Below are 24,306 nucleotides of genomic sequence, written 5' to 3' on the forward strand. Positions count from 1 at the left end.
GGTGAAGGGGAGGACGGGACTGTTTGATGAGTAGTTACTGCTTGTGTGTGTTATCTTACTGAATCCACATACCTTCCCATAAGGTAGCTATTAACATCCTCATTATAGATGAGAAAGCAAGGCCTCAGGAAGTTACATAACTTGTCTGATAAGCAACTGATAGAGCCAGCCTTGGGGGGGTGGGGCAGCCAGGGCCCTTTCCAGTGCCTCACAATGCCGCCTAAGCTATGCCTAAAGCTCGAGGCTGGTAGGCTCAAGAGTCCAGCAGAACGCCGCTCCCCACCCGCCCCCCCCACAACACACACACACACACACACACACACACACACACACACGCACGCCAGGGATCCAGTGATTTGAGGCCCAGGGCTAACCTGAGGTGGATTTCACTGCTGCCTCCAGACCCTCTGGAACAGAGAAGAGAGAGCACAGCTCTGGCCCCAGGCCAGGTGTAAAGGCTCTAGTATCCCAGCCCTCAGGAGGTCTAAAAGACCTTGCTCTGGGGAGAGTAAACATGCTCCCAGCTAAATATAGTCTTCCCAGGCCTCATAACAACTTTCTAATTCTGTCCCAGCCAGCAAGCACTATCTGCCAGCCCAGATTACAGGCACACTTCTCTTCTCCCACCAGGAACTGCTACTGTAGGTTAGTGCAGTCACTGCAGCTAAAGAGTTAAAGGGTTTATTCCAAGATCAAGGAGGGGAACCAAAGACGCAAACCCTCAATAGGGGAAGAACTGCAAGGCAGAAATGTTCTCGCTAATCTTGGGGTGGTCCCTTCCTCTTCCAAGCCTTTGAAGTTTCCCTTTCCAGCCTGCTTCTGTGACTGAGAGCAGAATATTGGTGGGCAGACTTGGGGGTACTTTGGGGATAACAGCCTTCTGAGGCTACACAAGAAGTACACACCCAAGAAACATTCATTCATAATACAGGAGCAAGCTGTCGGGCAGCAGGGGGCAGGCAGAATGGACATTTGAGGCTGTCTTCTTGAGTGGGGACCACAGCCGCCCAAGGCTGTGAGGGCCTGGGGCACTTACACCACGCACCACTGTGCCGCGGGAGGTACCAAGGAACCTCAAGTGTCTCATTCAGTTGTTCAACCACCTGCTGACATAGGTAATGTCCTGCTAATCTTACAGATAAGGAAGTGGTGCTTGTAAACTCCCAAAGGCCATGTTCCTACAACACCACTCGGCCTCATATTAATCCCACTGTCTCATTGTAGACGTGCCCACTAATTGCTTCACTCTGAGCAAGTTATGTAACTTTTCGAGCCTCTGTTTCTCCAACTGTTAAAATGTGGAGCTGGGCTCAGTGGCTCATGCTTGTAATCCCAACATTTTGGGAGGCCAGTGTGGGAGGATTGCTTAAGCCAGGAGATCAAAACCAGCCTGGGCAAAATTAGCCAGGTGTGGTGGTGCATGCCTGTAATCCCAGCTACTCAGGGGACTGAGGTGGGAGGATGGCCTGAGCCCAGGAGTTCAAGGCTGCAGTGAGCCATGATCACACCACTGCACTCCAGCCTGGTCAACAGAGCCAAGACCCTGTCTCAAATAATAATAATAATAATAATAATAATAATAATAATAATCTGGATGGCAGTGTCAACTATCTTCGTGGCTTGTTGCAAAAGTAAAAGAGATCATTCATGTAAAGCACTAATCACGGCACCTGGGACATAGTGAGTGCCTGTGAGCAGCAACAAGCCTGATGGCTGTAACAGCAACACGATTGCTGTTGTGCTGTGTCATCCACCCATTGCCACCTGGACTGCAGCATTTTGATAATATTTCATAGATTGCCTTACTGTTTTACTTTCTTGTTAGATGATCCGTTCGTTCCAGAAGCATATAAACACCTACCTGACTATTCTGAGTCTTAGAGAATCCAACGGTCCAGTAGGGAAGACAGAGAGGTAAATACATAAATATTAAGTTATGTGCTGAATAGCTTGTTGATTGTATGAAGTTTGCTAGGCCTGCCCTAACACCACTTGCACACAAAGTGGGTGGCTTAAACACAGATTTATTTTCTCCCTATTCTGGAGGCCAGAAGTCCAAGATCAAGGTGTCTGCAAGTTTAGTTTATTCTGCACTTGGCTAGTTTCTCCTTGCCTTGGAGACAGCTTTCTTCTCCCACGTCTTCACATGGTCTTTCCTCTGTGTGGGAAGGTTTTGTCCTAATCTCTTCTTATGAGGACACCAGTCTTATTGGATTAGGGCCCACCCTACTGACTTCATTTTAACTTAATTACCTCTTTAAAGACTACCTCCTATTATAGTCACATTCTGAGGTACTGGAGTTAGGACCTCAACATATGATTTTTGGGGAGACACAGCTCAGCCCCTAACATAGATCAGTAAGTGCTGAATAGTTCCCATTTGCCCAAGCAGTTCCACACCCACTCTCTGCCGTCCTTCGCCCTGTTCTGTGCCTCGGGAGGCTGGCTTCTGTGGCCTGCATCCACCAGCTCCTTGCCCTCTGCTTCTGGCTGGATTCCAGTTGGTACTGCCAGCGGGCTCCCTCCTGGAACATAAAGTTCTAGAACATAAAATCACAGCTCTCTCACCAGGTTCCAGCCACCGTCCCTCTCCTGCTCCTTCAAGCCTAGACGTAGTTGGCAAGCTGTACCCCTCTGTTATTAGCCACGGGGTCTAGGCCATCCCTTGTGGCTTCCCATCACTCTGCCCACATCTTTGTGACAATGCCCGTATTTAAATAGTGCGTGGAGGTCAGGCGTGATGGCTCATGCCTGTAATCCCAACACTTTGGGAGGCCAAGGCGGGTGGACCACTTGAGGTCAGGAGTTCGAGACCAGCCTGGCCAACATGGCGAAACCTCGTCTCTACTAAAAATAAAATAAAAAATAAAAAATAAAAAAAATTAGGCGGGTGTCATGGCACACACCTGTAATCCCAGCTACTTGGGAGGCTGAGGCAGGAGAATCACTTGAACCCAGGAAGCGGAGGTTGCAGTGAGCTGAGATTGCACCACTGCACTCCACCCTGAGTAACAGAGCAAGACTCCGTCTCAAAAATAAATAAATAAATATTGTGTGGGAATTTGTCAGACAAAATGAGGAAGAGCATCATCCCCAGTAGTGGAACAGCTTTGGTAAGTGAAACTCCCAGCACACTGATGAAATCATGAATGCTGCTACTCACCTATGACAGCTAAAATCAGGGAGCAATTAGCTTTAAAGGGAGGAAAGCAATACAGTATATTCAATACACAGTTTAAGAATTATGTCAGGCCAGCTGTGGAGGATCATGTCTGTAATCCCAGCACTTTGGGAGGCCAAGGCGGGAGGATGACTTGAGGCCAGGAGTTTGAGACTAGCCTGGCCAACATAGCGAGACCTTGTCTCTACAAAAAAAAAAAAAAAAAAAAAAAAAAAAAGAAGAAGAAAAGAAGAGAAAGAAAAAAGTTAGCCAGTGCAGTGGCACAAGCTGGTAGTGCTAGCTACTCATGAGGCTGAGACAAGAAGATTGCTTGCGCCCAGGAGTTCGCAGCTGCAGTGAACTATGATCGTGCCACTGCACCCCAACCTGTGTGACAAAGTGAGCCCTTTTCTCTAAAAAAAGAGAGAGAGGATTATATCAGGATCCGTTAAAAAAAAAAGAATTGTAGGCTTCCTGAGTCTGAGGACCAGGAGGATGAAGGGCAGGGAGGGCTATTAAAGGAGGAGGCAGCCAGGCACAGCTGCTCACGCCTGTAATCCCAGCACTTTGGAAGGCCGGGGTGGGTGGATCACTTGAGGTCAGGAGTTCGAGACCAGCCTGGCCAACGTGATGAAACCCCGTCTCTACTACAAATTTAAAAATTAGCCAGGCATGGTGGTTGGCACCTACAATCCTAGCTACTCGCTACTTGGAAGGCTGAGCCAAGAGAATTGCTTGAACCCAGGAGGCGGAGGTTGCAGTGAACTGAGATCGTGCCACTGCATTCCAGTTGGGGCGACAGAGCAAGACTCCATCTCAAAAAAAAAAAAAAAGGGGGGGGGGAGTCAGAGTACCTTCTCTTTCCTTCCGGCTGTTGGGCTTGTGCCCCTCTCCTGAGAGCTCCCCTTCAGACCCCCTTCCTAGGCTTCAAGGAACTGTCAAGAATCAGTTCAGGTGGAAAAGCTTTTCAGCCCCCAGCACACACTCGGTAAGATCGGGTGAGTGCCCAGACCTGCTCCCTCCCTTCCTATGCTTATCTCTTTCAGGGCTATGTCTGTGTTGTAACTCTGTTTACCTGTCTGAGTCTGGCTACAGGGGCCTTTTTGAGGGCAGGAACTAGGACTTTTAGCTCTGCCTCCCCACACCCGGCCTGGTGCTTGGCCCACAGCTCTCAGAGTTTTCCAGTGAACAGCATGGATAAATAAAGCCAAGTTAGGACAAATGAGGATGCTGTCATCTCAGCCTTCCCTTCACTGCCTGTGCATACCCAGCCCTCCCTCTCTCCCAGGCCCAGCTTTCCTTTGAGGCCTTCCCCAGATACACAGATAGGGAGAGAGCTGTGGGTGAATGGAAATAATCCCCTACCTCACCATTCACTTCACATCGTGAGCATTTCCGGTCTGGCTGTCCTCTGTGCCTCACTGACAGATAGTTCTCTTTTACAGTCCTCTGGGCCTCAGCTTCATTTGTAAAGTGGGGATAATCATAGCACCTAGCAGAGGGTTTGTAGTGAGGCACCAGTGGGTTCATACCTGCTAAGTGTTTAAAACAGTGCCCGGTATATGGTAACTACTCAATAAATAGAGTGATGGTAATTTCGGACTACGCTTTAGAGCAACAGTGTCCTTCAATTAAATCTCACCTGAGGCTGGCTGCCATGACTCATGCCTGTAATCCAGCACTTTGGGAGGCCGAGGTGGAAGGATCGATTGAGCCCAGGAGTTTGAGAGCAGCCTGAGCAATACAGAGAGACCTTGTCTCTATTAAAAATCAAAAAATTAGCCAGGCGTGGTAGTATGTGCCTGTAGTCCCAACTACTCGGGAGGCTGAGGTGGGAGGATCGCTTGAGCCCTGGAAGTCGAGGCTGCAGTGGGCTATGATTGTGGCACTGCACTCCAGCCTGGGTGACAGAGCTGAGACTCTCTATAAAAAAAAAAAAAAAAAAAAAAAAACCTTACCTAACAACATACAAGCTACTATTTTCCTTTCCTCTTGCCTTTCGTTTTTTTTTAGATAGAATCTTGCTGTGTCACCCAAGCTGGAGTGCAGCGGTTAGATGGAATCTCGCTCTGTCACCCAAGATGGAGTGCAGCGGCGCAATCTCGGCTCACTGCAACCTCCACCTCCTGGGTTCAAGTGATTCTCCTGCCTCAGCCTCTTGAGTAGCTGGGATTACAGGCGCTCGCCCCCATGCCCAGCTAATTTTTGTATTTTTAGTAGAGACCGGGTTTCACCATGTTGGTCAGGCTGGTCTCGAATTCCTGACCTCAAGTGATCCACCCACCTCAGCCTCCCAAAGTGCTAGGATTTACAGGCGTAAGCCACCGTGCCCAGCCTACAAACTATTTTCATTTAGCTACCCACTCTTTTCTTCACCAAACCTGGGCTTGCCCCCAGGAAGAATCCAGTTCAGGAAGAGAACTAAGTACTTTATGCCCTGGGAGGCCTATGTCACTGTGACCAGGGAAAAAAGGGCCAGCTAGGCCTGGAGCAAGAAGCTGGCCTTTTATTGTTGGAATTCAAGACCAGTTGCAATCACTCTGTGGGGTTTTGCAGCCCACCAAACCCCTTGAAGGCATACATTTCAGGGCCAGTGTGGGCCCCTCTCTTCCTGGGGAAGCCACAGCAACTCGATCTTTAATATGCACATGAATTTGCTGCAGATCTTGGAAAATGCAGTGTGACTCAGTAGGTCTGGGTCTGCATTTCTAGCAACCTTCCAGGTTGATGCCAGTGCTGCGAATCTGCAGTTGGGATAACGAACCCACCCGAGTATGCCCACGACTTTCCTAGTTTTGGCACTGAAAGTTCTGCATCCAGGGAAACCAGGACAGTTGGTCGATGTATCCAAAGACCACACTTTGAATGGCAAGGTCAAAGCAAGGAAGCATGTGCTGTTTGTACTGAGTTTCATAGTTCCTCCCACTGGAGTCCCTGGAATAATCCTCTTGTCCTGATAAAGAACTGTGACTCTTTACGCTCTAGAAAGGCCACCTGACTCCAAGCCTCAGCTCTTCAGGGTAGATGCTGGTTTTGGGGGGCCTGAAGCTTATCTAATCTTAGTGGCTCTCTTAAGAAAAAATTTGACCAGGCGCAGTGGCTCACGGCCTGTAATCCCAGCAATTTGGGAGGCTGAGGTGGGTGGATCACCTGAGGTCAGGAGTTCGAGACCAGCCTGGCCAACATGGCGAAACCCCGTCTCTACTAAAAATACAAAAATTTAGCTGGGCGTGGTGGCGGGTGCCTGTAATCCCAGCTACTCAGGACGCTGAGGCAGGAGAATCACTTGAACCCAGAAGGCGGGGGTTGCAGTGAGCTGAGATCACACTGTTGCACTCCAGCCTGGGCAACAAGAGTGAAACTCCATCTCAAAAAAACAAAAAGAAAAGAAAAAATTTAAAATATCTTTGTTTTGCAAATTTTAGAAAACATATAACCATGTGAACAGAGTAAATTTCCCTCTGTCTCTTTGGCCTAAGGCCAAACAGGTGCTCGCATCTTCCTTCTGGGAAAATGGTGCTGGGTGTCTCAGTGGCCAGTGACTGCCACTTCTGCAAGATGACCACCAGGTGGCAGTCGATTTACACAGCCCCCTTCACATGCCCACCCTCTCCCGCCTGGCCACCTCCAGAAATTTCCAACTCTTCCTCCAGCTGGTGCAGCCCATTAATCCAACAAATTAATCTATGCTGTGATAATGGGCATAAGGAGTTCATGTGCTTCTCTCTCAATAGCATATTTGCCATTTAATGGAAATGCTGAGAGATTGTTTTTAAAACCAGATAAAGAATGCTAATGGAGGCGTTCCAGGCACTCTGTTGGATCACGGATCACTTTGGTGATGTTTTTGAGCAAGTGGGCCCTTCTGTGCTCCACAGATTGCATCTGTGCAAAGGTGCTGCATCTTAACCCCATCCCCCTGCATCCCAACCCGACCCCACCATGCTTAGTGTTTAGGTATCATCTCGGGAGCTCAGCTGCCTGGATTCATATGCAGGTACTACCACCTCTTACTGAGGGTAGATGTTGAGTAAGGACTTTAACATCTCTGTGTGAAACGCACGTAGTAATACTGATTTCATATAATTGTTGTGAAGGATTCGGTAAAGTACCCTAGGAGTGTGTGGCACACAATAAACACTCGATAAAGAGCTACCATCTTCATACCACACCTTGCCTGCCTCCTTCATTCTTCAGAGCAAATTCTCCTGTTTCCCCCCCAGACCCTATCTCCAACCAGTTGCTTCAAGAAAACAAAGGGAGAATTGAGACCCCAGCATGGTAATAACCAGGCAATTCTTGTGGGCACAGCGTTTTCCAGACCCATGATCGCCTTTTAAGTTGGGGCTGATCCCTGAGGACATCAAAGCATCATCAAGATAGGGAAGGGGCCCTGGCTGGACCAGACTTCAGATAGCCCAGCTCTGCATTTTTGCAGAGGATAAATCTGCAAGTATCGCCTTGTGGATACCAGGAGTTCAGCACTTGCAGATGAGCAAGCAATGTGAGGGTAGGTGGCTAAGGCAGTCATCTGGTCCAGCCTGTCCCTGCCCCTGGACCCATAGCCATCTTTAACCAGGCGTCAGCGGCTCCAGCAGAGGCTTCATCTCCTGCACTCCTTGTTAGACCTGGTAAGCATTCTCCCTCTCTTTCTCTCTCTGATTACAATCATCTCCAGTGTCATCTACACTAACAGGTAAAATGGTGTAAGGGTCTCAAACTTGCTGCATATTAGAAGCACCTGGGATTTTACAATCTGATTCTCAGGCTAAATCCCAAACCAATTAAATCAGAATCTCTGGGAATGAGACCCACACATCAGAAATGATTCTAACGTACAGCAAGTTTGAGAACCAGTGTTCTAGAGCAGTGTTTCTCTAGCTTTAATGTGCATAGAAGTCACCTGAAGAGCTTGTTAAAATGCGAATTCTGATCCAGTGAGGCTGGGGCAGAGCCTGAGATTCTTTTTCTAACAAGCTCCTAGGTAATAATGAATGTTGCTGGTCCATAGACCAAGCTGTGAGTGGTCAGATTGTGGAACTGTGGTTCTCAAATTTGAGCATGTATCAGAATGATCTGAAGGTCTTGTTAAAATGCACGCCAGTTTCCGATTCAGATCTGGAATGGGGCCTGATAATACGCATTCCTAACAAGTTCCCAGGGAATGGCGATGCTGCTGGTCCACAGGGCACACTTTGGGCAGCAGGGGTGTAGAGGAGGCAACACAAGTTTTGGAGTCAGGCAGCCCTCAGCCTCCTTTTCTGGCCTCATGACACTCTAGCTCTGTGATCTTGGATAAGTTACTTAACCTCTCTGAACTGTAATTATACTATCTGTAAAGTGATCGTTATTGGGCAAGATCAAATGAGCTAAAACACCTAACACATTGCCAAGTGGGCTGGTCCTCAAGCTTGACGGCAGATTTAATTACCTTGGGAGCTTTTTTTAAAAAACAAACAAAAAACCCATAGTTGATTTAATTGGTCTACGGTACTGAACATCAGGACGTTTTTTCTTTAATAGAGATGAGGTCTTGCTCTGTCACCCAGGCTGGAGTGCGGTGGCTCAATTATAGCTCACTGTAATGTCAAATTCCTGACCTCAAACAATCCTCCCACTTTGGCCTCCCAAAGTGCTGGGATTACAGGCATGAACCACAAGGGCGGGCCAGGATCTATTTTTTTAATTGAGACAGGGTCTTGCTCTGTCACCCAGGCTGGAGTGCAGTGGCATGATCACAGCTCACTGCAGCCTCGACCTCCTGGGCTCAAGCGATCCTCCCCCCTCACCCTCCCGTGTAGCTGGGATTACACATGTGTGCCACCAACCCAGCTATTTTTTTTTTTTTTTTTTTTTTGTAGAGATGTGGGGGGTTGGGGGATGGGTCTCACTTCGTTGCCCAGGCTGGTCTTGAACTCCTGGCCTCAAGCGATCCTGCTGCCTCGACCTGTCAAAGTGCTGGGATTCTAAGTGTAAGCCACTGAGCCTGGTCTTGGCCAGGATTTTTTTTAAAGCTACTCAAGTAATTCTGTGCAGCCAGTGCTAGGTACTGGCCTGGTACCATGGTTCCCAAACTGTGGTGTGCATCAGAATCACAGGTTGCTGGGCTGCACCCCCAGAGTTTCTGACTCAGTAGGTCTCGGATGGGACTGAGAATTGGCATTTGGAACAGCTTCCCAGGCAATGAATACCACGCAGAGAACCAGGGCTGGAGGATAATCCTGGTTTGCTCAGGACAGCTCATGTGGAGCGTCACCCTGTCCCAGGTGTGCCACTTTACAAGCCCCCCTGGGTCTGACTGGGAGTGGGGCCAGACCCTGATGGGTGGGGAGGCCCCTGCAGGAGTGCAGGAGGCACAGTTGTTGTCAGGGAAGAGAGAGGGTGAGGTCACTGAGCTGAAACATGGCATCAGGGGCAAGAGAGGCAGCCTTGGCAACAGTGACCCAGAGCCCAGGAGTAAGATGTGTGGTTGGAACCCCTAGGAGGCCGTTAGCTCAACACAAGGAAAAACTTCGACCTTGAGAACTGCCCTGTCTGGAAACGGCACCAGCTTCCTCTTCTGGCAGCGAGGGCCCTGTCCCTGTGGTGGAGGGCGGGGTAGTCCTGCTGAGCTGGAGGAGGAGGAGGAAGGAGAGATGTATCAACTGGGGCGATCTCTGAGTTCCCTTTGAAGTCTGAAATTGCACTTCCCTGCAACCTCCAGTCTGCCTTTAATCCAGAAGCTGTTTATTTAGGGAGGTGGCCGTCTGGAGCTTTCTCAACAGACTGGCTTTCCCCATGGTGTTTCCCTTGCCTGATACAGCAAGCGGTTTACAGTCCTGGGCCAAACAGGAAGGCGACAGCGCTAGACGCAGCCGGCAGGTCCGCAAGGTTGAGGTGCAGCGGTGCCGCAGGTGTCACCTCGAGAGTGCAGTCGGAGAGCGCCGCGGGTGAATGGGCCAGGCAAGGCAGGGGTACCCTAGGGATGCGACGCGGGGCTCCTGGGGACAAACCCTGCCCCAGGCCGGGAGGGAGGAGGGAGCAGGAGGGTCCAGCCCACGCCGCTGGCCACATCAGAGCACCAAGAGAACACCAACTGTTTATTACAGGAATTCCTATGAAACAGCTCCAAGAAAAAACCCACACATAGGAGGAAAAAAAATAACAAAGCAACACTCAACAGACATGGGGCTGGGGCTTCCCCCACAGTGCGCCGGGTCCTGGCGCGGGGAAGGCTCAGAGACCCGTCGAGAACTCGAGCTGGGGTACCGAGGCACTCCTCGGAGACCCCCCCCCCTCCCTCCAGGGCCCCAGGCCTGGCGCGGGGAGCAGCGGAGGGGGCGACCGCTCCTCGGCAGGGCCCCCCGAGCCAGCGTCCCGGCCCCGCGCGCGTTTCCAAACTTGGTCACGCTCGGCGGCGGCTGCGCGTCCCGGCCCTCCCCAAGCTCGGCGTTGCGAGTCCGGGCAGGGTGGGCGGGACGAGGTGCGATCGCCGGCTCGCCTTCGCTACGCCCTTGTGATCTTGGGGCCACGGAGGCCACCAGGGCCCGGCCAAGGATCGGATGCCACTCCCAACCTCCCAGAGCCGCGCCGAAGCCTCGTGCCTGCCCAGGCTTCCCGGCTCTCCGGAAGGTCTGCGCGCTCCCATGTCCAGGGCGGGGCCACGGGCTGGGCAGCCTCCCTCCCCGTGGCAGTGGTCAGTGCCGTGTAAGCGTTCCTAGAATCAGAGTTCTCCTCCTCAGATCACCCGCCCTTCTCAGGGGCACCCAGCAAGCCCTTATGCCCTAGGCGCTCACCCAGGCTGGCGGCCTTTCCGCCTTGCTCTTTAGCCCTGCACCTGCTCAAAGGGGTCACTCCAGGACCCACCGCTGCCCACCCTCGGACAGCAGGGCTTCCAGTCCAGCTGGGGAGTCAGAGCCCCTGTGAGCCCCTACTGTGGTGTGACTCCAGAACTGGCTTTTGTCTGCTGCCAAATTAAAGACCCTGCCTCCCCAGAGTCCTCCAGCTCCAGGGTGGCCACCCTCCCCATCCCTGCTGGGTGACCGGGAGCTGCTGGGAGTGAGCCCATCCCTAACAGCAGCAGCCTGATGAGGCCAGACGGGGCAGGGCAGTCGGCAGATGCTTTGCAGTAGCCCATAGCTCCTCAGAGTTCCTGGGGGACTGGCCAGGGACCTCCCACCCAGGCTGGGTGCAGGGCTCGTGTGCTGGGCCAGCAGCCCCGGGGGAAGGCTGAGATACAGGAGGACATGGAAGGGAAGGGCACAAGTGCCCGGAGGGAGCTGAGGAAGGGGGACCAGAAGGGAGCTGAGGAAAGGGGGTCAGGCAGAGTCTGTGACAGGAGAGATAGAGAACGGACGGAGGCAGAGACTCCACCTTCAGGCCAAAGAGCCTCTGGTGGGGGTCATCTTGCCCTTTTCCATATTCCAACTTTTATCTGCTTTCTGGATTTTTTTTTTTTTAAAGGGAGGTTGGTTCCTGCATTTCCACTCTTTGACCATAGGAACGCCTGGCTACAAAAGGGGCTGTAATTGGCTGCTGCCTATAGGGGCCCCAGGTCCTTCCTCCAATTGCAAGGCAGCAACTCCGAAGTTCTAAGTCCCATGGAAAGTGGCAGTGGTTGGGCTGGACTGTGGCTGGAGGATCACCGGGCCTCGGTTCTCAAGCACCATCTGTCTGGCTGCAGCTGGGCCCTTCAGCTGGGGGCCAGTGTTGCTTTCCAGCTGCCCCCACCGGGTCAGATCATCTCTGGCAAGGAAGAGCTGCTGGCATCTGGTAGGGGAAAAAAGGGATGGGAGGAATCTTTTTCAAAGGAGCCCAATGGTCTTTCCTGGTCACTGGTTCCTGGAGAGACAGTTTTGGGAGAAGTTACTAAAGACGTAAGCCCTCTCCTTTTTCCAGGGACTCGAGGTCAACCGTAGAACTCTGCCTGGGTCATCCCCCCATTCAAATTCCTAGAACCATTCCAGCTTGCCCAGCTGCAGGGACTCTGGCAGCAGGAGATGGAGTGAAGGAATGGAATCCCGGGGTGAAGCAGCTGTAGGGGAGGGCTTCAACGTGGGAGGGTACCTGGCCCATTCTAATACGTCATAGCTCAGGGGAGCTAGGCCACAAAGACCTGTAGGTGGAGAAAAGTAAACTGGGGGCAGAACTTGGTAGGACTCAGACACCAGGCTGAAGAGTTCCTAAGACTTTACTCAGAAGACTCATTCAGGCCAGGCGCAGTGGCTCACGCCTGTAATCTCAGCACTTTGGGAGGCTGAGGCGGGCCGAGGTCAGGGGTTTAAGACCAGCCTAACCAGCATGGTGAAACCCCGTCTCTACTAAAAATACAAAAATTAGCCGGGCGGGGTGGCACGTGCCTGTAATCCCAGCTACTCGGGAGGCTGAGGCAGGAGAATGGCTTGAACTTGAGAAGGGGAGGTTGCAGTGAGTGGAGATTGCACCACTGCACTCTAGCCTGGGCAACAGAGCGAGACTCCATCTCAAAAAAAAAAAAAAAAAGAAAGAAAAGAAAAAGAAAAAAAAAGATTCATTCAAAGAGCACAGGAAAAATGGAACTAAAGTGGTGTTTTGGTGGTGGGATAATCAGAGTAGGTAGGGGCAGTGAAGAGAACAGGGCTGTGACCTAGGTGATGAGCATCTATCAGGGTGGTAATGGAAGGAATAGAAAAGAGAATGAAAGGGGGCAGTCAGGAGGAGAGACTGAGTTGCTATCCAAGGCTGAAAAGAAAATCTTGGGTGCAGCTGGGGACACGAAGCAGCTCTGGAAGCCTAACTGCGATGGAGATTCAGATGTAGGAGCCAGATGCGCAGAAGTGTTGCTGGTGCTATAAAAGAGGGCGGAGGCACTGCCAGAGTGGGCAGTGAGAAGACTTCGAAGAGGGTCAAGGGCAGAGCAACAAGGAGAGCCAGTATTTAGGGAGTGGGCGGAGCAACAGGAGCCAGGAGAGAGGAAGGAGAACCTGGCTTCCTGGGGTCACAGGAGCCAAGGGAGGGCAGCTTCAGGAGAGATCAGGGGAGTGCGTGTGGAAGAGCACCATAAGAATGCAGAAGATGCTAAGGCCCTGAGCTGCTGGGTGACCTCCGAGTCAATCCGAGTGATGGGAGGGGCTGTCAGCCTGCAGTGGATGAAGGAGGATGGCAGGGAAGACTCAAGGACCCTTGGTGTTTAAGGGGAGGAGGAGGAGGATGTCAACTTGCAGAAGGAGCTGGAAGGGGACAAGCTGGAAGTCCTAGGACAGAAATAAATGATGAGGTGCAGGTACGGTGGCTCACACCTGTAATCCTAGCACTTTGGGAGGTCCAGGCGGGCAGGTCACCTGGGGTCAGATGTTCGAAACCAGCCTGGCCACATGGCAAAAATCCATCTCTACTAAAAATACAAAAACAAATTAGCCAGGCAAGATAGTGGGTGCCTATAATCCCAGCTACTCGGGAGGCTGAGGCAGGAGAATCGCTTGAACCTGAGAGGTGAAGGTTGCAATGAGCCAAGATTGTGCCACTGCACTCCAGCCTGGGCAACAGAGCGAGACTCTGTCTCAAAATGAATGAATGAATGAATGAATGAATGAATGATGAGCAAGTTTCTGATGTAGGGGTGGTTTGGACAGGACCCGTTCTCCCTGGGGACCAGTAGGAAGGAGAAGGGCGTGGAGATAGTAGCAGCGTGGGGTGACAGTGGAGGCGATTCCCCGGCAGGCTCTATCTGGGCATTCCAGGACAGTGGGAAGTGGGCCGCGGCTTTGTGTTTGAGGAAAGCCTGAGGGGAATAGAAGGGGCTGCAGTGCCTGGTGGGAGATGTGGTAGGGAGTCAGGTGGAGTGGGTGTGGGGGCCAGCTGCCCAGGCAGAGAGGAGAGGGCACTTGTATTTACTTGTTCCCGGTTTCCCTCCATTGTGACTATCCTGAGGCAAGTGAGTATTTCTCCATCGTCTGACACAGGGCCATACCTGCCACACCATCAACTCAAGAAAGCCTTGTAGATGCTGCCCACTGGGACCAAACAAGTGGCTGGGGAAGGCCGGGCAGCTTCCCCTCTCCCATGGTAAACGGGGGCTGGAAAAGGGACAGCTGTCTTGGCCAACTCCTGGAGGAGGCCTTGGTATTTTCTTTTTCTCCCCAAGAGGGTGCACAGGAAGCGAGGAGGAGAAATGGCTTGGAGCCCTGGGGCTTCAGCCAGAAACCGCTGCCTCAGGAGGGTTTCCTCATCCTGGTGTGGCAGATCCCAGCCCACCCAACCCAAGCAGGGGGCTGGAGAGAGTTGTGTGTGTGCACAGCCGGGTTGAGACCACCTCAGTTTTTCTTTTTCTTTTTTTTTTTTTTTTGAGATGAAGTTTCACTCTTGTCGCCCAGGCTGGTGTGCAATGGCGCGATCTCAGCTCACTGCCACCTCCGCCTCCCAGATTCAAGTGATTCTCCTGCCTCAGCCTCCCAAGTAGCTGGGATTACAGGCGCTTGCCACCACGCCAGGCTAATTTTTGTATTTTTAGCAGAGACAGGGTTTCACCATGTTGGCCAGGCTGGTCTCGAACTCCTGACCTCAGCTGATCCACCCACCTTGGCCTCCCAAAGTGCTGGGATTACAGGCATGGGACACCGTGCCCAGCCAGTTTTTCTTAAATCATCCTCTCAGTGTGCTACGTGTGTCCTGGACTGTCTTCTCAACTGGACTGTAAACTCTTCAAGGTCAAAGCTGATTTTGTTTTCCTGTTCTCAGCATCTGTCATAGGCAGGTGTGCTCATCTTTTGTCAAATGAATAAATAACCAAAAAAGACATGCAATGAACTAGTTCCCACGCCCGTGTCCCTGCCGCAACTATGAGGGAAGACACGTGGGGCCTGTGCTACCCAGTTGCCTGAGCCCAGCGCCTCTGGACACCTGGGAGGACATGTGGGGTGCATAGTGTGGGGGGCCCTGGCCTTGGGCAGTCCCTGGGTTGCTATGGCTCCAGGCCTTACCTCTTACTGTCCTTCTCGCAGGCCTTCCTCCACCTTGGGTGCCTCCTGACGCCTGCCCCGGAAGTCTTCATCTGAAAAGGAGAGGGAAGCTGCCTCATCCTCTACCCTGCAGGGCCTCGCTCAGGCACGGCCCCTAGACTGGGCAAGAGAGCTGACCCGACTCTCTCTGCCCCCTTCATTTGGGACCCATGCAGATCCCCCCAGGTAGACGATGCATGGGTCCAGGGAGAGAGGCAGCAGGACACTCAGGTGCTGGCCAGGGTCCACCACTGAGCTCTGAGACCTTGGACAAGTTCTCCCCTCGTCTTTGGGCCTCAAATTTCCTCATCTATAAAATGGGATGGAAAAGCTGGACTATCTAGATGACCTCTGAGGCCCTTCCAGTCCTTGTTTCTGGATGCCTCCTGACCCTCGAATGTGGCATGAGGATCAGGGTTCAGCTGCGGGCCCAGGAGGGTCTGAGGCAGAGTCTTCTGGCCCACGTGGCCTTTGGAAGGGACTGGGTGAAAGTTGAGAAGCCTCTGGGCCCACAGACTGAAGCTGCCCAGTGCTTGGTTCTCAGGCCGAGGGTCCCCCATGGGGGCAGGCCTGTCTGCCACCTCACACCCAAAAGAATATTCCCCAGAAACAGTACCTGGCACTTCATGCTACAGGTACACATCTAGGTGGAAGTAGGGCTAGGGCCCCTTTTCAGGGGTTGCAGAAAGGGGGAAGCAATGTCGACCAAGTCAGGGGGATCCATATCTTTGGGTCACCTGCCCACCAACCCTCAGTGTGTTCCTCCAGGGGACAGGGCGGGTGCTCCCATGAAACACCCAGGAACTCCGCTGGGAGATCACCGATCATAGAGAAGTTGGAGCTTACGACTCCCCTCCAGCCTCACCACACGCGTGGCCCTCCACATCATCCAGGAGGTTGGCTGTTGACGCGGCAGCCCCCAGCCTGCCAGGCCATTCAGGAAAACCGTCCCAGGGATGAGGGGACACTGCCCTAGTCCTCCCAGTCCCACTGACTCTCTGCCCCACCCCTCAAAGCTCTGGAGGTACCTGACACACCCACCTGACCCCCCACACCCTTAGTACTGTCCCCCAGGCTCATTTTCCTGAGGTCAGTGGTATGGCCAGGCCCTGACACTCTCGCCCAGCTTACATCTCTGGGGATGGAGAAACAGCTTCCTCCCTGTTTCCCTCTGGCTGCTGAGCCTCTGCTATCCTAGGCCCTGTTTGAGAAGCATGAATAGGAGTTCTGATAAAAAGGTGGAAAGCCGTATTTCTACTCGAGGAAGGGAGGGCCAACATGCTTGGAGTGAGGAGGACTCGTGCACCAGTTCAACTAGAGAAATGAAGGGAAGGTTTGATATTGATGGAAGAACCACTTTTTCTCCCAAGAAGTACATAACCTCAGACCAAAAAAAAAGTTAATAGGACAACTTCTGGGCCTACAGAAGGGAGACAGGAGCTGCTGCCCTGCTCCCTAGGCCTGGTCCCTGGTTGGCAACGAGAGACGGGCAGTGGACTGGTGGCCAAGCTCATGGAGGAGAGGGGAGGAGGAAGGGAAGGCCACAGAGCCGGGTTCCACTCCCAGGGGAGGGCACAGCTGCAGGGAGTCCAACAGGGGTCTTGCTCCATGGCCCTTGGCTTCCACCACCCCCACCAGTGCCAGGCTGGAAAGGATACGACTGATGCTTCAACAAGTGTTTCCTCTTTGACTTCCTCATTTTGGTCTTCTCTGAGAAGGCTCGGGCAAGTTCAAACAGTTTCCTCCGGGTGGCTGGGGGCAGAGAGACCTGTGAGTCATTCTCTCAGCAGCCAGCACACCAGATGGCCTCCTCCCAGGTGTGGGAAAGGCCAGGGGAGGACCAAGGCCCCCCGGAGAGGGAGCAGGGGGCAGGCAAGGGTGGGAGCTGAGGAGGGAGAGATGACAGGAATCGCAGACCCCTGAGGACGCCACCCCAGGAGCAAGAGGCTACATCCTGGGTCAGCCTGCAGGGGCAGCACAGGACACCCTGAGCCAGGCCCAGGGACCGCAGGCGGCTCAAGATCCAAGTATTCCCTCCCCAGCTGCAACACACTGCAACGCATCTTGGCTCGCTTTCCCGCCGCCACCGCCTTCCCGCCCCTCCCCTAGCCACCTCCAAAGTTGGTTCTGGGATTTCCATGACTAATCCGAGATTTTCCTTGAAATGGAGCCTGAAAGGATCGCAGCCTCATTCACACATGGCTGTGGGTCTGTGTGGCGGGGAGGTGAGGGGGAGGGAAGGGGGCATTCAAGGCTGGTAGGACTTTGTGGAAAGAGGTCCCCCACCCCCACAGAGGCTTAGCAAGGGCCTCTCTGTGCAGTCAGCTCCGGCCAAGCCTCCTCGAGCCACAGAGAACGTGAACATGAGGATTGCGGTGAGGGCATGTGTGGCACGTTATTTTTCTGCAGACATCTGGCTCAAGAGGATTTAAAACTTAATTTGTATCTAGACTCAGCTGTAGAGGGAAGTGAGGCAGGAAGGCTGAGGGAGCCAGCCTGCGATGAAAATGTCACTGGTTCACCAAGAGTCAGCTGCATTACATGTGCTGAGGGGCTCCCTCACTCCTGGGAGGCCACAGGGCCTGTCTCAGAAAAGCTGGGGAGGGAAGCGGGGCCTGAGTGGGACTCACACTTTCCCATGTGTTTCAGCTTGTCCCTGAATAAGGCATCTTCAGACACAGCGGGGTTGGCGTCGCCAGTTCCTGGAAGGAGACACCTGCTGAAGGCCGGCCACCGTGGCCAGCCATGGCCGCTGTCCCAGCCCTACCCACCCATCTGAGGACAAATGCAAAGAAAGAGCAGGCTTCTTCCCTGGCCAGAAGGGAGTTTAAAGCAAGGAGGATGTGGAGTTCCAGGAGCTCCTCTTTCCCCTTGTGGACTTTGTTTCCTCCTCTGTAAAAATGGGGAGGGTTCAGCGGTCTACTGTGTGTGCAGACAGCCAGCTCGTGTGTGCTCCCAACTGTCCACGCCTCTGACCAACTCCATGTTTCATGACATCACCTTGGTAGCTTGGGAGTATTTCCACCATGGAGGTCACCAAGCACTACATATCAGGCTCCCGCTGCACCCAGAGTTGGCTGTGAAACATTCACCAGCACACCAGGGGCCTCCTGCACCCCGACATTCATGTGACAGTCAAATGAGGTGCTGGCTCAGAGCCGGCATTCACCTGTAGCAAGTCCCTTGTCCTTCCTGCCAGGTAAGCCCATCCATTGCTCCCTCCCAGCCACAGGGTTTCTGGCTATTAGACAATGAGTAGGAATAGAATGGGACTAGTCCTGGAGTCAGAACCCCACCGGCCACCCAGAGTCTCCCGGGCTCGCTCAGCATCCACTTGGGTTTTTTGCTGGTTTCTGAAGCCCCTGCTCTCTGTCCTGCAACTTGGTTAATCCCCAGTCACCTTGCCTGCTAAGTCCCCTTTGAGTCATTCTGATCCATCTCAGCAGCCCCGGTATCTCTAGTTAATTCAGGATCAAGGACAAGAGGCTCCTGCTTAAAACTCCCAGCTGCACATCTGCTGAGCCCTAAGCTCCCAGCCTGCTGCTTATGAGTCAGTTCCACAGGATTTTCTCCCTTCAAGCTGGGATCAGCTCAGCTCCCCATCCCTCTGCTCCTCCACCCCCAACTCCACTGCATGATGCAAGGTCTATTCCAGGCAAGAGCCCTTCTCCGAGGTGGGCAGCTTGTGTACATGTGGGGCAGGGGGCACTGACTGATGAGGGGCCACTGTTCGCACACAGGCACCAGGTCATCGTTCCCAGCTGTGGCTCAACCCAGTAGTCTGCGCATCCCAGGAGCACTGCAGCCCCCTCACCCCTATCCAACCCTCTTTCAGCCATCAGAGCTTCTGAGCAGAAGGGCCTGGCCCTCTTTACAGGCAATTCTTACTTCCCACCACCTTGTACACAAAGCTAGAAATTCCTCTTCCTCCAACACCTAGGGCAAGGCCCAACAGATGGCAGATATTCTCCAGCTATGTCATGAATGAATGAGTAAACTCCCCAGATTAATCCTGCCCTCCTTTTTTCCCATGCATTTGCTAAAATCAGTAAGTCCTCAGCTTTGCTAGTTTGTTCTACCTGTTTTCTGGGCATTTCTCCTTACAAGACCATAAGCTTCCCCAGGACACAGACCAAGACTTATGAGTCTCTGAGCCCCACCACGGGGCATTTTGGGGTCCTTTTCTTCTTTTTTTTTTTTTTGGAGACAGGGTCTCACTCTGTCACTCAAGCTGGAGTGCAGTGGCATAATCACAGCTCACTGCAGCCTCAACCTCCTGGGCTCAAGTGATCCTCCCACCTCAGCCTCCTGAGTAGCTGGGACTAGAAGCACAGGCCAATATGCCCAGCTAATTTTTAGTACTTTTTTGGTAGAGATAGGGGGGTCTCATTTTGTTGCCCAGGCTGGTCTTGAACTCTTGGGCTGAAGCAATCCACTCTCCTCGGCCTCTCAAAGTGTTGGGATTATAGGCGTGAGCCACCGCACCTGGCCATGTGTCATTGACTAGCCTACACTCGAGGCATAGGTTGAGAGTTCAGCCAGCCTATGTTACTTGAACACAACTGTGGGCTCTGAAGCCCAGCAGTGGCTGGATTGGAAAGACCCCAGAGCTGCTAAATGGACTGGATATGGAGATGGGGGCAGAAGCAGCCCCGCCAGCCTGCTGAGGAGGCCCAGGCCCCCTCCCACAATCTGTTTTTTCACCCTCCTCTCAAACTCCAAATATGCAAAGCAAAGTTGGGTGTGAGCTCCCCACTATGCCTCTAGGTTTTCTTCCCCAGAAGGCAAAGTTACCTGGGACAGGAGAGGAAAAGCCAAAGTCGTTTCCGACAGCCACGCTGCTGGATTTAGATTTCTGGGATTCGTATTTCAATCGATCTGGAAAAGGACCACATTCACAGGTCAGGGAGGTTAGCTCCTGGGCTCCCAGGGGCAGGCTGGGCTGGGACACGGTAGTTTGCTAGAGGCTAAGTCCCCAGAATCACACATGAGCACACACGGGCACCCAAAATATGAGTGCACACATCTACCAGCTCTCAAAGAACCAGCAGTAAAAGAAACTACCGCCTGACAGCCATCTCAAATGTCAGAATTAAAAGGACTCAGAGAGACTGTAGAGTCCAAACCCCCTCATTTAAAAAGAAAGGCACGGCCAGGGATGGTGGCTCATGCCTGTAATTCCAGCACACTGGAAGGCTAAGGCAGGCAGATCACCTGAGGTCAGGAGTTCGAGACCAGCCTGGCCAACATGGTGAAACCCCGTCTCTACTAAAAATACAAAAATCAGCCAGGTGCGGTGGCGTGCGCCTATAATCCCAGCTACTTGAAAAACTGAGGCAGGAGAAACACTTGAACCTGGGAGGCGGAGGTTGCAGTGAGCCGAGATTGAGCCACTGCACTTCAGCCTGGGTGACAAGAGCGAGACTATGTCTCAAAAAATAAAAAATAAACGGAAAAGCCTTGAGGCTTCTAGCACCTTTGCTGCAGAGCTGGGGCTAACCTTGGGCCTCAGCCCAGCCTTCTCCCTCCACAACTTGCTCCTCCCCCACCAACACACCATCAGTTACACACACAAGCTCTCACGCTGTGGCCGTCACAGGGACAGAGCTCCACAGCCCTCTCGTCTCCTCTACCCCAAACGCACTCCCACCCTGCAGGGGAAAGGCAGCCAGGCTAGGGAGCAGGGTCTCCAACCCAGAGACAACCCAAATACCTGCAAAGTTCCAGAGCCCCTGCTCTAAAGTCTTCCACTCAAGAGCCTCCCCCGCCCTGGCCTTCATGAACCCAGTCGTTCTGTTTCCGGAGCTCCAGACACATCACGCCTGCCTTGGGGCTGGGGCTCTGTGAGGAGGGGCAGTGCTCTTCTCCCTGCTGCCTTGTGCCAAGGCCAGTGCCTGGCACAGAGCAGGTGTGCAAAGGGAAGAAGGCCTAAGAGTGCACATCCTTCTTCCTCTGAGTCCCGAGGGAGAAAGGGGTGGGCTAGTGACCCAGGTCCCCATAGGCAGAATTCTGAGGCTCCCATGGGATAACTTGGTGGGAGTCATGCCTCAATAGGACAGAAAGCACCTGGCCCCCTCAGCCCCCAGCTCAGTGTTTTCCTGAGCCCCAAGGCTAAAGCCAGCATCACCTCCCTTCTTCAGCCAGGGAGAAGTGGCTGCAGGCGCTGCCCACCTCTCTCCAGAGCGAGGAGGAAGTCGCGGTTCCGTTGCAGCTCCTTCATGAACTCCTCGTTCTGCAGGAAAAGCGCGATCCTCTCGTCCTCCAGGTACTGCTTCCAGCGGCTCTCCTGGTCTCCGGGCCCTGGCCCAGCCATGGCAGGTGGACATCCCTCTCCACTCCCAGGCTTGGGGCCCCCAGCGTTACCCTGAGGAGGGAAGCGAGCATGTTGAATGTGTACACACAAGGGTACATGTTGCACAAACGTCCACATCCCTCTGGTTGCACACATGCCCTGTCCAACATCCTCCAGCCCTCACCTGAGGCTCACACCTCCTAATGGAACCTGGTTGCGAGCCAAAATCCAACGGACAGGTCAGAGCCATTGCTGCAGGGGACACAGCAGTAGCCTAAAAACTATTTTTCCCCCACGCCACAGACCACCTCATACCTTCATCTACAACCTGAACAGTCCTGAAAACAAATCTGCAGACTGTGGAACAGCCTATACGTCAATTCCCAAACTCAACCCTCTCCCTGCACCAGCAGCCTCAGGGTGGACCTGCCCCGCTGTGGGGCACCTTGGGGCATGCCAACATCTAGCAAGAAGCAGCCTCTGGCCCTTTCCCAAGGGAGGAAGGGGGGTGCTCTGGCCCTCCACCATTGGCCACCCCATGCCCGCCTCTCTCCAGCCTGAGGTGACTGCTGCAGCAGACAGCCTCCTTAGGCTGTCACCTTCCCTGGATAGAACAGGAAACCTCCAGGCCCAGGCAGGAAGTGAGGCTTTCAGTTCAGCATTCCTGCCCTACGAACCCAGGGCAACAGAAATAGCTCAGCCTGGGTTTAAACATCAGGAAGTAAAACTGGCTGGCACAAATTGTGTGGGCAAAGAGAGATGCTGGACAAGCAGGTGGGAGTGGAAGGCGGGGGCGGCCCCTGTTACCTGTATGCTGTCCAGCTGCTGGGGCAGGATGCGGAGAAAGTCATCCGGAAGGTTGCCCAGCAGTGGTGGGTTCCAGTTCCGATAGCGTCTCTGGCTTGTAGGGGCTCCAGAGCCCAGCGCGTCGATACTAGGGGATGGCAGGTGACAGGGAAGAGGAAGTCATTAAGCCCAACCCCAGGTCTCCTGGCCCCATCACACCAGGTCCTCAGGCAGGTCGGATCCTGCTCAGAGATTCCCATGGCCTCCACTGCCTCCAGAACAAAGGCCCGTCACTCTGTCTCATCACTGGAGATGTCTCCACCAGCCTCAGCGAACTCCCCAGCCATTCATGCTCTCCAGTCACTCAGTGCCCTTCCAGGTCTCTGGACCTACAGAGCTGTCTGTCCACGGTGCACATGTGGAACTCTGTGGATTTAGCCATAGATGTTTACAAATGTCCCCTAAAGACAGCAGGGATCGCATCCTTTCATGCTTCTATCCTAGCACCTACACAGTGCCAGGCTCATGGTGCTGAGTGACAGGTATGGTCCAAAGGAACAGACACATAAGCCACCAACAGCACAGCCTGCTGCATGCTGGTTTGCTGAGGAAGGGGCATATGGGGACGCCAGGATCCCTACAGAGGGTAAAGCAGATCTGAGCTCCAGTTCTGGCTCAACCACCAGCCGGCAGGGTAGTCTTAGGTGGGCCCCTGTTCCCTCTAGGGCTCGGTTTCCTTATCTAGAAACTGCTGCCTCCCTGCCCAGGTGCTGGGGAGCCCCTCAGGAGGCCGTGTCCTGAGCAATGTTCTGAAAACGTGCGTGGAGATGTGAGTGTGGAAGGGATCTCGCTCTCAGGGTGCTCTGGGGCCGCTCTTTCCAGGCCCGTTGTGTGTGTGGCAGGAGCTCTGTGCCATGGCAGAGCCAACAGCTGGGCAAGGCAGTAGAGGAAGAGGGGGTGGCACACACCCTCCCTGACCCCCAGGCTCCCGCCCTACCGCCCTGGGCCTGAGGGCAGCTCGGAGCCCGGCCAGGAGGTCCCCACAGCTCCATGGCAGCCTGCAGCGTGGCAACCGCAGGACACGTGTTCCGCTGAATCAGGAAAACGGCACACTGAGAAGGCAGCCGAGGGCCGGGCGGTGGGGGCTGCTCTAGCTCTCGGGCCTGGCTTTGATTTGGTCTTCAGCTCTAGGAATCCCGCCCGCCCCCTCACTGGAGGGGAGCTTTTCCGGGCTGCCGCTGACTATGGAAATAACTTCCTTTCCTTTTCTATTTCGGGCGGGTGGCCGGCGGCGGGGGCGAGGGGAAGGGGCGGGGGCGGCAGCAGAAGGGATAACCAGCTGCTAAGTGCCTGGTGGGAGCTCAGCTCTTGCAGACTGGAGCCAAGGGAACCCCAGCACGCCTCGTCCACCCTCTCCCTGCACAGACACAGGGGGAGAGGGAATGGTCTGGAGAGCAGCTTGCATCACAACCCGGGACTCCCATTCCTAGGCCAAATTTTTTTCTACATCACTGCCACCTTCTGTCACTGTTGGAGGCTTCATTTTTCTCCAAAGGCCAGAGATGGGGAGAGAGGAAGCCTCATCTCTAAGGGACTCGCAGACCACCCCAGGCTACAGCAGGGAGGGACCCTCGCCAGGGGTATTACCAGTTCTTGAGGTCTCAGGGTCTTCATCTGGGACATGGGTGCCCACCCCCAATTTAACCACACCTCGGAGCCACCCAGGAAAGCAGTGGAGGGAGAACCTCAGAGGTGCACCTGGACCCCTCTAGCCATGAAGACTCCAAGTGGAGAAGGGCACAAGGTGGAGGAGGCCCCTGTTCTCAGCTGAGTTTCCTTGCTGCTAGGCCTGTGGTCCTGAAGGAAGGCCAGGCCCAGCCCCCTCCCGGCCCCTTGGCTGGCACTGGTAGAGATGAGGTCAGCCCACAGCTGCGTGAGCCAGGGCACAGGCAGCCCAGGCAACTCCATTGTGGTCGGAAAGGAATGTCAGAAATGAGCTGAGACGCAAATAAAAAAAAAAACTTCCAAGGCTGTAATTTTAACGGAAAAACAGCAGGCGGCCTGTGTGGAAGGGTCCCCGGGGTTTCAGAGACTGTCTTTCAGACAGATGGAGG

General features: G+C 53.6%; 1 protein-coding gene across 7 annotated transcripts in view, besides 9 other annotated features; it reads right to left on the reverse strand.

The window, feature by feature from the left end:
• Nucleotides 8,984-9,834: an enhancer, noted in NCBI's record as "H3K4me1 hESC enhancer chr17:55937722-55938572 (GRCh37/hg19 assembly coordinates)". NCBI's record gives its function as "activates a minimal SCP1, AML or CMV promoter by ChIP-STARR-seq in primed H9 embryonic stem cells {active_cell/tissue: H9 hESC(primed)}" and the evidence as "EXISTENCE:reporter gene assay evidence [ECO:0000049][PMID:30033119]".
• Nucleotides 9,835-10,684: an enhancer, noted in NCBI's record as "H3K4me1 hESC enhancer chr17:55938573-55939422 (GRCh37/hg19 assembly coordinates)". NCBI's record gives its function as "activates a minimal SCP1, AML or CMV promoter by ChIP-STARR-seq in naive H9 embryonic stem cells {active_cell/tissue: H9 hESC(naive)}" and the evidence as "EXISTENCE:reporter gene assay evidence [ECO:0000049][PMID:30033119]".
• Nucleotides 9,866-24,306, reverse strand: part of CUEDC1 (CUE domain containing 1) — a 94,170-nt gene continuing 79,729 nt past the window's right edge. For 5 of the 7 annotated variants that reach the window (NM_001271875.2, XM_017024641.3, XM_047436060.1 and 2 more), the window contains 8 exons: nucleotides 22,214-22,340; nucleotides 21,286-21,478; nucleotides 19,909-19,992; nucleotides 17,745-17,816; nucleotides 16,773-16,866; nucleotides 15,980-16,038; nucleotides 15,097-15,167; nucleotides 9,866-11,908 (listed from right to left, as the gene is read on the reverse strand). In NM_001271875.2, the coding sequence (NP_001258804.1) occupies nucleotides 15,100-15,167; nucleotides 15,980-16,038; nucleotides 16,773-16,866; nucleotides 17,745-17,816; nucleotides 19,909-19,992; nucleotides 21,286-21,478; nucleotides 22,214-22,340 (697 nt within the window). In that variant the 3' untranslated portion in view covers nucleotides 9,866-11,908; nucleotides 15,097-15,099. Of the gene's footprint in view, nucleotides 11,909-15,096; nucleotides 15,168-15,960; nucleotides 16,039-16,245; nucleotides 16,316-16,772; nucleotides 16,867-17,744; nucleotides 17,817-19,908; nucleotides 19,993-21,285; nucleotides 21,479-22,213; nucleotides 22,341-24,306 lie in introns of those variants that run through there. The other 2 variants (XR_934459.4, XR_934460.4) reach the window with 2 other exon arrangements.
• Nucleotides 10,685-11,534: an enhancer, noted in NCBI's record as "H3K4me1 hESC enhancer chr17:55939423-55940272 (GRCh37/hg19 assembly coordinates)". NCBI's record gives its function as "activates a minimal SCP1, AML or CMV promoter by ChIP-STARR-seq in naive H9 embryonic stem cells {active_cell/tissue: H9 hESC(naive)}" and the evidence as "EXISTENCE:reporter gene assay evidence [ECO:0000049][PMID:30033119]".
• Nucleotides 16,537-17,736: an enhancer, noted in NCBI's record as "MED14-independent group 3 enhancer chr17:55945275-55946474 (GRCh37/hg19 assembly coordinates)". NCBI's record gives its function as "activates an origin of replication core promoter dependent on BRD2, BRD4, P300/CBP and CDK7 cofactors, and independent of MED14, by STARR-seq in HCT116 cells {active_cell/tissue: HCT116}" and the evidence as "EXISTENCE:reporter gene assay evidence [ECO:0000049][PMID:35650434]".
• Nucleotides 16,537-17,894: a biological region, named in NCBI's record as "MED14-independent group 3 enhancer GRCh37_chr17:55945275-55946474".
• Nucleotides 16,750-16,839: an enhancer, noted in NCBI's record as "active region_12448". NCBI's record gives its function as "activates an Ori minimal core promoter by ATAC-STARR-seq in GM12878 lymphoblastoid cells {active_cell/tissue: GM12878}" and the evidence as "EXISTENCE:reporter gene assay evidence [ECO:0000049][PMID:35858748]".
• Nucleotides 17,254-17,894: an enhancer, noted in NCBI's record as "H3K27ac-H3K4me1 hESC enhancer chr17:55945992-55946632 (GRCh37/hg19 assembly coordinates)". NCBI's record gives its function as "activates a minimal SCP1, AML or CMV promoter by ChIP-STARR-seq in naive H9 embryonic stem cells {active_cell/tissue: H9 hESC(naive)}" and the evidence as "EXISTENCE:reporter gene assay evidence [ECO:0000049][PMID:30033119]".
• Nucleotides 22,387-23,027: an enhancer, noted in NCBI's record as "H3K27ac-H3K4me1 hESC enhancer chr17:55951125-55951765 (GRCh37/hg19 assembly coordinates)". NCBI's record gives its function as "activates a minimal SCP1, AML or CMV promoter by ChIP-STARR-seq in naive H9 embryonic stem cells {active_cell/tissue: H9 hESC(naive)}" and the evidence as "EXISTENCE:reporter gene assay evidence [ECO:0000049][PMID:30033119]".
• Nucleotides 23,028-23,669: an enhancer, noted in NCBI's record as "H3K27ac-H3K4me1 hESC enhancer chr17:55951766-55952407 (GRCh37/hg19 assembly coordinates)". NCBI's record gives its function as "activates a minimal SCP1, AML or CMV promoter by ChIP-STARR-seq in naive H9 embryonic stem cells {active_cell/tissue: H9 hESC(naive)}" and the evidence as "EXISTENCE:reporter gene assay evidence [ECO:0000049][PMID:30033119]".

Source organism: Homo sapiens, chromosome 17 (genome assembly GCF_000001405.40).
Source record: "Homo sapiens chromosome 17, GRCh38.p14 Primary Assembly".
NCBI lineage: Eukaryota > Metazoa > Chordata > Mammalia > Primates > Hominidae > Homo > Homo sapiens.